At 42.3% G+C, this 13,199-nt stretch overlaps 3 protein-coding genes across 30 annotated transcripts in view, besides 1 other annotated feature; 1 reads left to right on the top strand and 2 right to left on the bottom strand.

The window, feature by feature from the left end:
* DDHD2 (DDHD domain containing 2) overlaps window positions 1-10,643 on the top strand; it is a 42,063-nt gene extending 31,420 nt beyond the window's left edge. For 3 of the 7 annotated variants that reach the window (XR_007060724.1, XR_001745504.3, XR_007060726.1), the window contains 2 exons: window positions 7,816-7,973; window positions 10,369-10,643. The gene's annotated coding sequence lies outside the window, so the exon portion shown is untranslated. Of the gene's footprint in view, window positions 1-533; window positions 3,109-4,608 lie in introns of those variants that run through there. The other 4 variants (XR_007060723.1, XM_011544456.3, XR_007060725.1 and 1 more) reach the window with 3 other exon arrangements.
* On the bottom strand, window positions 126-6,220 carry PLPP5 (phospholipid phosphatase 5). Of its 22 annotated transcripts, NR_148893.2 has the most exons (8): window positions 6,122-6,220; window positions 5,878-5,986; window positions 5,367-5,457; window positions 4,893-4,956; window positions 4,602-4,728; window positions 4,263-4,387; window positions 3,137-3,307; window positions 126-1,600 (listed from the first exon to the last, which is right to left on the bottom strand). NR_148893.2 is itself a non-coding variant. In NM_001354452.2 (7 exons), exons 1-7 carry the CDS (start codon window positions 6,193-6,195, stop codon window positions 1,440-1,442), a joined length of 741 nt encoding a protein of 246 aa, NP_001341381.1. In that variant the 5' UTR covers window positions 6,196-6,220; the 3' UTR covers window positions 126-1,439. The 22 variants fall into 22 exon arrangements, 18 of the variants coding, with proteins under 18 accessions (NP_001341381.1, NP_001341385.1, NP_001096029.1 ...); NM_001354452.2 differs by lacking the exon at window positions 4,602-4,728 and having other exon boundaries at window positions 5,367-5,403; NM_001354456.2 differs by lacking the exon at window positions 4,602-4,728 and having other exon boundaries at window positions 126-402.
* Window positions 5,939-6,418: a silencer, noted in NCBI's record as "silent region_19119". NCBI's record gives its function as "represses an Ori minimal core promoter by ATAC-STARR-seq in GM12878 lymphoblastoid cells {active_cell/tissue: GM12878}" and the evidence as "EXISTENCE:reporter gene assay evidence [ECO:0000049][PMID:35858748]".
* Window positions 6,700-13,199, bottom strand: part of NSD3 (nuclear receptor binding SET domain protein 3) — a 112,568-nt gene continuing 106,068 nt past the window's right edge. Inside the window, exon 24 of the mRNA NM_023034.2 lies at window positions 6,700-12,878. Within this exon, the coding sequence (NP_075447.1) occupies window positions 12,637-12,878 (242 nt within the window). The 3' untranslated portion in view covers window positions 6,700-12,636. The remainder of the gene's footprint in view (window positions 12,879-13,199) is intronic.

Consider the following 13,199-nt stretch of genomic DNA (forward strand, 5'->3'; position numbering starts at 1 on the left):
TTAGCCAGTACTATAGATAACAGCAGTTGAATCACTTAGGGCGGATGGGGAATTCAATGTTTTGCTTTACTAAAGTTCCAGCCCCTTAATGTACTTTAAATATTTAAAAAAGCACACATTTACCATTTTATTTGAATATCAGGTTTACTGAAGGAAAAAGATACATTGAAAATATAGGAACATACACATAAAAGACAATGTCATATTTAAAGTATAATCACAATAAAGAGAAAGGGAGCTGTAGGTCCTATGGCATCCATTCTGATGACATCCCATAATTGTTCCTTATATTCCATTGTGAAGAAGGGGCAGAAAAAGATTCATCTGTCCTTCAGATGACGATACCTGTCATTTTTCTTTTCTACCTTAGTCACTTGGCAGTGTTGGTGCATTTGAGCAGATCTTCAGTCATGAATGGAAGGAAAGAAGCTCACAAGTACAGTTATGGTCAAATGAGGTAGAAACAGTCATCTGTTAGTAGTGCTGAAACCACACTCCTGACCATTTTCTTCTTTATTATTGTTTTCACTTAGTAATTCAACAAATTGTTTATGCCCACGGTGTTCAAAATGCACAGCAGTACCAGATGGCTGGACTCAGATAAGATGCACACAAAAGTGATAAATTACCCTAGATTCGACATTTTCCTATTTAAGGCTTGATGGAATTGTCATCAGAGAAGGTAAACAGAATCAAAGTAATTTAGTTGGCCATGCCCTAGATTTTAAGATTTTGAGCTATATGAAATGGAAATTAAGTTTTGATAATGAACTCTAGCTTCTGAGACAAGGTGGGGCTATGTAAAGGCTTCTTTGTGACAAGATCCTTCTAAGAATGGCATTTAAATTAAATGTAAAAACACTGTAGATCTTCAGATATTAATCTGATAGACCAGATTCATAAGGTGTTGGACACCTTTGAAAGATCCTTTTACTAGAACATGTGGCATACAGTAGTGGAAAAGAACCGTAACTCCTCAAGATAGATGAGCAGGGGCAAAAGTGTGTAATCATTTGGAGGCAGAATACAGTGTGGCTTATGTCCTCACTTGCACCTTGGAAGGGGAAAAAAAGGCTAGAATTTCTTGTCTTGTGCATGGTCCGGTTAGGAGGGCTAGTTCACCTGTTCTCTATTGAGATAGATTCAATTTTTTTTTTTTTTGAGATGGGGTCTCACTCTGTTGCCTAGGCTGGAGTGCAGTGGTGCGATCTCGGCTCACTGGAACCTCCAGCTCCCAGGTTCAAGCAATTCTCCTACCTCAGCCTCCCAGGTAGCTGGGATTACGGCACACAACTCCTGGCTAATTTTTGTATTTTTAGTAGAGACAGGGTTCACCATGTTGGCCAGGCTGGTCCTGACCTCAGGTGATCCACCCTCCTCAGCCTCCCAAAGTGTTGGGATTACAGGCATGAGCCACCACGCCCGGCCAGATTCAATTTTTAAATATCAAAACAATAAGAATCCCCAGGCTTCTGTGCAGTGGAAAGTACAAGTTTGTCTTGAAATGGTTTATGGCATTCTGCATCAGTCAGAGGAGGATAATACTGCCGATAGCAGACATAGGCAAATGTCATTCCAATCATGGATCCAACTAGTACATCTGAAGAGAGTGGAAACAAGGTCTTCTCTTAATATTAGGCTCCTAAATCCTATTACATACACATAGCATAGAGGACCTGGCCCTCCAGGATACTCTACTGTGGGGCTAAAATAACCTCAATTCCAGACTTATGATTTCTAAATAAAATCTTTTTATTCTCAATTTTATCATAGTTACAGTATTATCATTGTCAGGTTGCTTTCTGAACACCAAATCAAAACACATCTTAAGTAAGTATAATAAGCTTTGTTCAGAGTGTACTAAATTAGAATTTTTCTAACTCAGAAGAGTAACAAAGGTCCACTTATTGCTATTCATCTGCCCATTTTCACCATTTAAAGGGTCCTAGAGGAAGGAATAAAGTATTTTAAGAGTTGCTTCTCGCCGGGCACGGTGACTCACGCCTGTAATCCCAGCACTTTGGGAGGACCAGGCAGATGGATCCCGAGGTCAGGAGATTGAGACCAGCCTGACCAACAAGTGAAACCCTGTCTCTACTAAAAATACAAAAATTAGCCGGGCGTGGTGGCATGTGCCTGTAATCCCAGATACTCAGGAGGCTGAGGCAGGAGACTTGCTTGAACCCAGGAGGTGGAGGTTGCAGTGAGCCGAGATGGTGCCACTGCACTCCAGCCTGGGCGCAGAGCTAGACTCTGTCTCAAAAAAAAAAAAAAAAAAAAGAGTTGCTTCTCTTTGCAAAAAACTAGTTTATTTAAAAATTTAAAATAGGGTTCCTGAGGACCTGTGGGCAATACCTCCAGCGTTTTTTTTGGAATTGTGTCAGGTTCAAGCCATTCTCCTGCCTCAGCCTCCCAAGTAGCTGGGATTAAAGGCGTGTGCCACCATGCCCAGCTGATTTTGTATTTTTAGTAGAGATAGCGTTTCACTGTTGGTCAGGCTGGTCTTCAACTCCTGACCTCAGGTGATCCACCTACCTCACCTTCCCAAAGTGCTGTGATTACAGGCATGAGCCACTGCACCTGGCCTCAATTTTTGTATTTTTAGTAGAGACGGGGTTTCAATATGTTGGCCAGGCTGGTCTCGAATTCCTGACTACAGGTGATCCGCCTGCCTCAGCCTCCCAAAGTGCTGAGGTGTGAGCCACCGCGCCAAGCCAGGTGTTCTGTAATTTGGATATTTTACTTACTATAGCATTCAGCTTAAATTTGTTTGGTTTAATTATAATTTTATGTTTTCTTGAATTTTACTTATGTTTTTGAACAAAAGTCCTATGACAATGAACCTGATTTTTAAGAGAGTAAATTGAACTTTGAGGTTTTAAATTTCCTGTAGATGCAGTTTAACTTGAACTTACAATGCTTCAAATAATGGAAAAATTAGGATGTTTATCTTTGGTAAACTCTTTTTGTCTTATCTTTCCTATAATTTTAAATGTACTTAGTACAGAACCCAGACCATCCATACTCATTAATTTGTTCATTCAGCAGATATTTAGTAAGCATCTCCTCTGTGCTAGGTGCTAGGAATAAAATGAGTGAAATATGCAAGCTTCCATAGCCTGAGTACTTTGCTTACCTTGCCAGTGATGCTTGTAGTCACATGTGCGGGACAGTGCAATCACAGCTGCAAAAAGTAGAGGTGACAGAAAGGCACAGAACCTCCAAGATTTCCCACGGCCTTGTGGTGTGAAGCAGTGTAACTTCCCTGCCAGGTAGAAGGACGCAAAGGCCAGACCAGCAAATGCAACTGGAACAAGAAAAACTTTTAAGTGGTTTGTCTTTTAAAGGAAGCTACCTCATTCATCCCCACATAGGAGGCTAGGAAGCATGAGTATGTTTTTATTTATTTATTTTTTGAGACAGTCTTGCTCTGTCGCCCAGGCTGGAGTGCAGTGGCACCATCTCGGCTCACTGCAACCTCCACCACCCGGGTTCAAGCGATTCTCCTGCCTTAGCCTCCCGAGTAGCTGGGACTCCATGTGTGTGCCACCATGCCCAGCTAATTTTTTTATTTTTAGTAGAGTTGGGATTTCACCATGTTGGCTAGCCTGGTCTTGAACTCCTGGCCTCAAGTGACCTGCATGCCTTGGCCTCCCAATTGCTGGGATTACAGGTATGAGCCACCACACCCGGCCATGAGGGTGTTTTAATCCTTTTTTGTGTATACTTATAGTGTAAGTCATTGTGAAGGAAAGGGAAACAAAAAGAAAAATGAAGGACTTAGTGCCCCAAAGTTAATGTTTTATCTGAGTATAGTTTTCGGTATACTAGCTATATGTATCAACTTGTTGATGCTTTAGTTTCCTCATCTATAAATGGGACTCATAAATACAATAGTCCCCACCTCATTGGATTATTGTGAGCTATAATTAGGTAAGAAATGAAAATGCTTCAAAGTACCTGACACATAGAAACTCTTCGTTAAAGGTATTTTTATTGCTAGTACAAGATTGCAGGATCTAGGCAAATAATATAACAATTAAATGTGCAAATCTCATGAAGGTAAACTACCTTTCTGTTCTGTAATATTTACCCAAATAGTCAAGGCTCAGACTTGTTAAACTGTGGAGTTACTAAAGAAGGGGGGATTTTCCAAATTGTAGAAACAAGAGTAGTCAGATTTTCCCATCCCTACTAGCTTTCTAGGTTAAATTCAATGATGTGAAAACAAGCATAGGGTAGAGTCCATATGATATTCATACAGGAAGAATGTCCACTGGGGAAGCTCTTTCGGCCCTCATTCACCACGTCCTTATCCCCTGTACACATCAAGTCAGAATGGGCTAGCCCATCAGGGAAGCAGCGGTAGAAGAAATCTGGGCGTGGCCTGGAAGAAAGCAGCATGGTTGGAACGTAAATCATTAACTCCAGAAATTATTTTTCAGTTGTAGCAGACATTAATAATCCTGTTAACTATTGGTCAAATAGTGCCCCAGGCAAAATAAGGTAACTGGCTTAGTATAGTCACCACACTAAGAGAAAAGCCTTTCAAGGTGAGCATTTAAATTAGGGGAAAAACGCCCATTCCAGCACATGATTACTTTTTAGGGCAAACAGCAAATGACACTGCAGCTTCAGGAGGTGCTCAAGAGGACACTGACCGACTGCTGTGGCCGTTGGTGGGAAATGCTGTTCAGGCAGAAAAGAGCCCAGGTGTCACCTGGAGGACTGAGGTATGGGGAAGGGAGTAAGCGTTGAATGACAAAAGAAAAATCAGAGTGAAGATAAAGGAGAAAAGAATGAGAAAGACGTGTGGTGGACACCATTAACCTCTCTGTTCTGGTGGGTAAGGGCTGAGGCAGATGCTGGGGTGGTTAGCTGTTGTCACTTACCTCCCTACGATCAGTTTTATTGTGTTGGTAAAGACGCCATTCAGAGCCAGGGCAAGGCTGGCAGCTGCAAAGCAAAGCCATTAGTTGAAAGGATCTGTCTAGGAGGAAAGGTATGGTCATGGCCTCGTTATGAGAGCAGCCGTGCTGTTTCTGAGATGGATAGAATCCAACCAGGCCTGGGCACAAAAATAATTAGGGTCCTCAGTGATCACTCTTTTGTAGCCGAGAACTTTTGTACTAGGCCAAAGACATTTCTGAGGTACAAATAACCCAGTGCATTTAGGCACAGGGCTGCCTGCCGTGTAGCCTGCGTAACCAAGTCCCTGCAGTGCTATTTTCCTCTCCCGCGGGGATAGAGTTCCTTTAGGAATGCAGAACTCAGTGGCCTCCACACAGGCTCACCGTGGCTGAATCCCACAACGACCTCCTAGGTTCCCAGCACGAAGAAACCGGCCCGAAAGGGCTAGCGCTCACCCAGGCAGGCTTGTCTGCTGTCTCTTGTGTCTGCCTTCTTGAGAAATTTGGCCAGGAAGATCAGAGACAGTGGAGAGAGAAATGCAATAACCTGAATCAGAATGTCAGAGGTTAAAAACAATCCAAAAAAAAGCCACACTCGTGCTCCTACAGGAAAGAGGGATGTGACACAGCAGGACTCACTGGAGCTAACATAAGGTCTCTGAGTGCGCGTAACCGGGCGCCAGGCAGCGCCACCAGTGAACAGCAGCGCCCGTGCGGCTCGGGCCCCGGTACCTCAGGCTGAGGCACAGAGCGCCCGGGAAAACGTTGTCTCAGCCCAAAGAGGCTCGGACACCCTCCTCTCTCAATCAGGATCTTAAACACTCGAGCCCTAGGAGGCGGAACCCAGCGCACAGCAGCGGAGTGGGCAGTGGGTCCCTACAAAGGCCGTCTCGGGGTGGAAAACGCACAGGTGCCCGCGGGAAGCCGGGTCATGGGGAGGGAGGAAAGACGATCTTTCTCCACGCACAAACATCGGCTTGGTGGGGAAATACTCCGCCTCCACGTAGGGGTTCCGGTAGAGCCACATCTCCTCCGGCTGGATGAGTCTCTGGAACGGGGGGAGCAGCTCCGTCACCCTAGAGGGGAACAAAGAAGCGCAGAGCAGGTCGCCTGGCTTCCTCCCCGCTTCCCCACTGCCCGACCCGCCGCCCCGTGCCGCCCGCCTGCCTGGGAAGCGGGGCCGCCCGGGCCCGGCCGTGGATCTTTCTTACAGGAAGGCCGCGAACAGCGCGAGCCGCACGCCCACTTCGGCCCCAAAGGCCACCGCCGCCGCCGCCTTCCCCATCCGGCCGCGAGCTCCGAGCGACGCTGCGCTGACGTGGCCACCTCCGCGGGGAGGGCCGGGCCGGGAACTGGGCACCGCCCCCTCTCCCAGTTGCCCGCGCTCCGGCGGCTCCCCAGGAAGACGGCCTGGCGGCTGTGCCGAGGGCATCGTCTGGCAAAGGGTACGCAAAGCCAGCGGAGCTGCCCTCTGGTGCGTTCAGCAGGGAGCCAGCGCCCCAGTTCCAGCCGAGTAGGTCGGCGTACGGTCCATCATCAGCAGCTCGTCTCCACGGCCCAACCACACCACCGCGGGGAGCAGCCTTCTCCCGGGACCTCGCCTCTAAATGGAAAACCAAACAGCCCGCTCTCAGATCCTCGTTCCTTAGCAACACAGCCGCATTCTGCAGGAAGCTACACTACCTGAGGTTGGCTGGATTGTGTCATTTAGTCCTCCCACCCAGGATGGCCTCCTGCCCAGAGTGTTGTAGCAAAAAATTATTGGCAAAGAACAAGCCCACATATTTAATTTGGAACATACAGGACAATTTATTGAAGTCAATCTCAAGCAAAATCTGAAATCAGTGGAATGTCATTAAAAACCTTTCCAAATTAATCCTCACGGAAGCAAAAAACACATTGGAATTCCAAAGTATTTGTAAAATAAAAAAGGCAACATCTCAGTAAATATAATGTACAAAAATTATATGTTCCTACCAGCACACACATCAGTAAAGAAGCTTAAATATTACAGGCAACCCTAAATACACTATAACTAGTCAACAATAAGCTATCTATATACAGGTTAACCAAGCTTTACACGTTTCACACTATGCAATAAAACATAGGCCAATCAACAAAATCCTCAAAATATTATATATCTTGAAGTCTATGTGGCAACATCAAGTCATTATACAGTAATGCCCTAGTGGAACACCCCCAGGGAAAATTAACACTAATCCCTTAGTGTCAAGAGCTTCTAGCCAAGTCACAGAAACTCAAAAGAGATTGACTTTAGTGAATATTGATGCTTTGTTATTAAAGACTCAAGTCTCAAGTGATTTAGGCAAAGTAATGGTTCACAGGATCTACAAAGTTTATTACAGATAAAGTACAGAAATAACCAATCTACAAAGATCATTATCATAAAGAACACGAGAAAATGAAAACGGAGTCTGTAGGTATCTGTGTTTGTTGTGCAATATCACTCAAATGGGTACAAATGAGTTTCTCATATCAATTCCAAATATACACATACCCTTGTATATAAAAAATGATATTAGCCAGTTGTAATACTCATTTAGCATCTTGATTATTAGTGGCAATATAATTATCTTAACATAGGGCATGTAACAGGACAAATGAGATAAAATAATGACAACCAAGTAAGTTTTATCCAGTCCATTTCTAAACTGACAAGAATACCTTATTCAATACCTTATATAGGTCATCTGACAGATACTTGAGGGCTGTTTGCACACATCAAGTGTGTTGGCAGGCAGGGAGGGGAGCAGTAAAAGCTGAGGGTGCTTTCTCACTAACTAGCAGATGCAGTAATGCCACATAAGAAAACTAAGGACTGAATAAATGACTTTGGCATCTATTCTATTTTCCCTTTTTACTTACATGTAAATTACTTTTACAGCCTACTGAAGGACAGGCAATTCTCATCCCCCTCCCGCTTCATACATACGTGCCACAAGCACCCAAACTTGTCACTTATGCAATGGACTGACCAAAACAAAACAAAAAACAGAAATGTTTTTTGAAAGACACGGATTACCCACATTTTGGGAGTGTAACGTAAGTGCAATTTTTTGTTTTGTTTTTTTCCCTACATAGACATAGTAAAAGGAAAGAAGATGTGCTTGGGGAGAGGGTTGACAAAATGACAAAATAAAGAATGTACATAAAAAGTATTTGTAAAAATGCTGGTATCTCATGCAGGAGTCTCTTCCTCAAATGTGTTCAATCAATCTGAGCTATCTACTGTGAACACTCTCCCATTTGCAGAACTTCACCTTTAATCCACGCTAAAGAGGATAAGAGACTAGGCTATTTATTTTCAAAACAGTTTACAAAACAATGCTTTCTACTTCATAAATGTAAAAAGAAACTAAAATAAGGAGAATCTGAAGAGTTTCAAGTACTTAAAAAACCTGAATTCAATGAGGCAGAGGTCTCAATGTTAAAGTGACTATTTCGTACCTGTGGTAAACATTATCCCCCCCCTTACCCTTTACCAGGAGAAAGGGGGTTCCCTTTCTCCTGGTACCCCACCCCAGGTAAAAGTTGGTGAGATTTCAGTATATACACATTTCCAACTTTTCAGTATTTGTTAATTCATTGCAAAGCTGTCTAATTATAGTATTCCCTAGTCCATCTGAAAATGGAAGCAAGTTCTACTTTTTGTTTTACAAATAACCAGAGACCAATTCTAGGTGGCCCTAGGCCAAAGGAAAGTGTTTCCATTCATCAATTCATGTCTGCACCAACTTGGACAACTGGGGGAGGCTGGATGCATCAGCCTTGTGAAAAGTAACTTTAGTCTACGCTGCCCAGAAATAAAGCAACTTTCCAATGTCCTTTTTCTCATATGGAAGTATAGAATGTCAGCTTCCCAGCTGTGAGGGCTCCATAGCCACTGTTTTCTTATCTTGTTAAGAGGACATGGCATGTGGCAGCCAACACCTTGACTTCAAGGTGAATGCTAAAGGAAGAGCTTTGTATTTAAAATGAAATGAAAGACAAGCAACAAGTCCTGGGCAGTCCAGAGATTGTATTCTCTACAGATGGCCTGTTTGCAAACAGTAGGTCTGGGTTTGACCTATTGGAATACACCATGCAAGAAACTACTCAAAAAGGAAATTCCACTTCATGAACCAGGAAAGTTGTCCAATAGCCTGTCCCATCTGAGGGTCCTTTACATGATTAGATACTCAATATCTCAGTTCCACAACGTTATTTACAGACATGTTTTCAAATATTTTGTGTAAATGGCAGAAGGGAGCTGGGAGCAGTCCCCCTGCCTCCATTACTTTTTTAGCTTTCACATATGTTCTTGACTTGTACAGAAAATCCCAAATTTTAAATGATTCCCCAACTCAGCCAGTTCTATAGATGAGGCCAGATCATTTTTGAGAATTAAGATAAGAGTGGGAACTTGTTAAAACAAAAATGAAAATAAAACCCACCTCACTCCTGTATCTCTCCCTGATTAGACATTAAAGAGGTGAATCACTGCCTCTGGCTGCTTCAGCCTTCCAGGAATGAAGAGCCATCCACCTTGCCCTTCTCAGCCAGCCACAGGCAGCTCTTCTGATTCTTCCCTCGCAGCAGTGGCGGTCCAGCCCCTCCCTCCCCTGCACAGTGCCTGAGAAAGTTTCCCAGGATTTCATCTTTAGCTCTTACTGATCCAGTTTCTGAAGCTTTAGGCTGATTATCAAAAATCTTATGTTCACTTCTTCCTTCAACAAATTAACATGTGGTTAAAAAAAATACCACCATTAGCCCATGCTGCTTTAAGTTATTTCATTGTTGGACAAGAATAAAAACCAGCCACTTACACTCTGACCACATATAGATTTAAAAGTTAACAAATACCAACTTCAGACTATGAGTGAGCAATGTCTTTTGGAATATTTCATTGGTGTATCACAGGCACAGTGCATGTATACTCATGCACACATAAAGGACAATTTTCTCTTTCTGCATCTATAATCTGCAACTTAAAAATATATCAAATAGGTCAACATTGACGCTATGGAGGTGTGAGGAGAACTCCTTGGCACCAGCATGACTAAAACCGCTTTTTAGACCATTAAAGAACATTCATGGCCAAAGACTTCAGAACTATGGTTACCTTTTTTTTTTGAGATGGAGTCTCGCTCTGTCACCCAGGCTGGAGTGCAGTGATGTGATCTTGGCTCACTGCAACCTCTGCCTCCTGAGAAACTGGGACTACAGGTATGTGCCACCATGCCCGGCTCCTTTTTGTATTTTTAGCAGAGACAGGGTTTCACCATGTTGGTCAGGCTGGTCTCAAACTCCTGACCTCATGATCTGCCCACCTCGGCCTCCCAAAGTGCTGGGATTACAGGTGTGAGCCACTGCACCTGGCAGCTATTTTGTTTTCTACTCTGATTTCTGAAATGGTGAAACAATCCTATTAATCATAATTTTTTTTTAATTTCAGCAGAGCTCTGTTACAGATATGAAAACAAAATGTGACACAATGAAGAAGCTGCATAAAAATACTGAAACCTAAGGTATCTGTAGTATATAGGATGTACCCTGGCTTACCATAGAAAAGTCTTTAGATAGTAAATAGCACTAAGTCTAAAAGCAAGGAGATAAGATTTCATGTTGGATACTGTTTCAAGAACTGTATTTGGAATATTAAAGGAAATCCTTATGTTAGTAAGTTTAAAAAACCAAACATCATATACAAAATAAAATTTTAGTATGATAAAACCTAGCTTTTCTTATTTTTTAAAAGGACATCAAACTATATAATTGCTCAAGAGCAAAGTTTAGTGTTTTGGTGAGCTGTATTTCATGTTACTTGTAGCAATTATATTTGGTGACATGGATCGCATTTTCCATTTTGCTCTTTCTTTTGGGACCATATCTAATCAACAGAAGTACTGGAAGCCCAATGAGTCACCGCAGAATTAATTGCTGGAGTCAGGCAAATGGCAGTTTAGGAGCTTCAGTAAAAGAATTGTAGTGTTTTTTACAAGAGAAAATCCAGTATAATTGCACATTTACATACAAAAAAAAGAGGCACAAAACAGATTTTCACCCTCTTTCCATAGAAGAGCTCTAAATTGATAAGCAAATGGAACACTCAATACAGCTGAAGGAATGTGGTAGAGCATCTACCCTCCCTACCTTCATAAGGTTACTAGGTACTTGAGGGAAAATAAATGCTACCAGGTACCAGCAATTGTAAGCAGTCAAAATTCACAGAGAAAGTTAACATTCATTCAAGCTAACCCTAGACTTCTACTTAGTACAGTGTTACAACAATGTCTGACATTACTAATTATTTTCATACAAGGAATACTGGAATATACATATTCCTAAGCATTAAAAGCAAGTGAGTTTGGTGAGCAGACATCTTGGTATACTCGCATCTATAAGAGTCAAGCATCACCATCAACCATTTTTGCTAACACTGACTTTCTTGGGAGTTTTCTCCAAGTGCTTCCTAAGATGAAGTGTGTTTGTGTGGCTCTTATGCACCCTGTAAAAGTAGAAGTTCTTCCCCTTACTCAATGGGAGCAATCTTAAGTACTGGATAATAATAGAAATTCTTTACATGTAACCTGGGGATGCCCCTACTACTTTCACCCCCCAAATTAGGAACTCAACCAAAAAGATCTATTCAAATACAATTCAAACTCACTTGTGTGGTTTTACCAGGAAACATGACTGAATGGTCAGATGACAAAAGAAATGTTTGAGTAGGAGAGGAAAACAGAGACAAAAAATAAAATGCCTGTAATTCTCTCCAATTAAGACCAGGGTCTACAATAAAATTGGACAGAAAATGGTGCTTATATGATCCAAATTTTGGTTTATGCCTTCATCCCCCTTTAGCTGCCTTAATCAGTGTCAGGAAAATAGGAGTGACCATTCCAACTATGCTTCATATCCACAGAAACGCACTTCATCCAAAACCCAAACCATCCATGTCAATGGAAAACGTTTTAAAAATCAGTGAGCACATCCATTCCTTTTTTTCCTTCCACCAAGGAAACACACCATATACCCTTCTAGGTAAAGTTACCATAGTACAAAGCCCACCTTGTTTAAGACCACAGAGGTAAAATCCACCGAGGCATTGTTTTCAAGAGGCCAGATTTAATACTTCCATAGAGCCCTTCTCTAAGCCTATGAAAAGCATTTTGAAGGGAAAGAGAAGTGAGCCTACCTACTGCTCAGTAAAGAGGTATATAAAGCTTATCATACCCTTTCCTAGAGGGCTTTCTCAGATTCCTACTTAAAACACACACACACTTGATTAGACTATTGAACTACACTTCTTGAAATTCCTAAAAATGAAAATAAATAAAGGAATGATGGCTACTTTTGCTTTATACAACCAAGGAACACATCTTAGACTTTAAATTTATCTCATTAACAAAACTTACTTTTCTCTTTGTTCTTATTTTAACAGCAAAAACATTTCTTTTTCAAGCTGCAATGGCACTGAAGCACAATAAAAGGCAAGAAAAGACCAAGGGAATTTAACCCTCCACAAAAGAATCCCAAACCAACCAAATCAAACAAAAACCAGACACCACCAACTGCTTCTGCCTGCATGAACTGGTTTCCCATTTTTGCTTTAATAAGGCAGTTCCGATGGCAAAGGCTGTATGCACTGTAGCAGTCTCTTCTTTTTAAATGCATGATCTATTTGCTTTTTTCACTTAAATAGAAAGGAGGGGACACCACACATTTATTCTTTTACTTCTTCTCCATGATCTTGTGATTCCCATTTACATTTTATCTTGCTCCAGTATTCTGGTGACACAGGAGCCATGGGGTCATGTTCCGAGCAGCAGAGGCGGCCTTCCAGTGCAGAGGGAACCAGGGCCCCCTTTTCATGATCTTTACAAAATGAATGTGGACAGAATTCACAGAAGGAAACAGCTGCACTGCTGCACTCATCGCACTGATGCCACGGACACTCCCACTTTCCTAATTCGGGGAGATGGGGAGGAAGAAGGAGAAGTGCCCAAGTTAGTGCCTGTCTTGATTACCCATGAAAAACCCAGGTTCCTTCTTCTCTCATTGGAGATGGAATTCAATTGAATACAACTCCAAATTTCAACCAAACATAGATCTGGGTGTACAGTTTAGGATGGATGTGAGCTACTGGCCAAAACCCAACGCCACAGGTACCCACCTACGGGAACAGTATACAAGAAACCAATCCTTGAGGAACCACAAGGTATCCCAAATGTGTAAGGGGAAAGATTTTTGCCAGCGTAATTTTTCGCTATTGTTTGTTCTATTCAA

This window comes from Homo sapiens, chromosome 8 (genome assembly GCF_000001405.40).
Source record: "Homo sapiens chromosome 8, GRCh38.p14 Primary Assembly".
Classification (NCBI taxonomy): domain Eukaryota; kingdom Metazoa; phylum Chordata; class Mammalia; order Primates; family Hominidae; genus Homo; species Homo sapiens.

Bases quoted from the DNA above. Each gene is read 5' to 3' on its own strand.
- PLPP5 (XM_024447307.2), bottom strand. From the start codon at position 6,195: ATGGGGAAGGCGGCGGCGGCGGTGGCCTTTGGGGCCGAAGTGGGCGTG. The intron at 4,957-5,366 runs GTGAGCGCTAGC...TTTGCTTTGCAG, and splicing joins CAGCAGACAAGCCTGCCTGG to CTGCCAGCCTTGCCCTGGCT. The intron at 4,388-4,892 runs GTAAGTGACAAC...GCTTTCTTCCAG, and splicing joins ATAAAACTGATCGTAGGGAG to GCCACGCCCAGATTTCTTCT.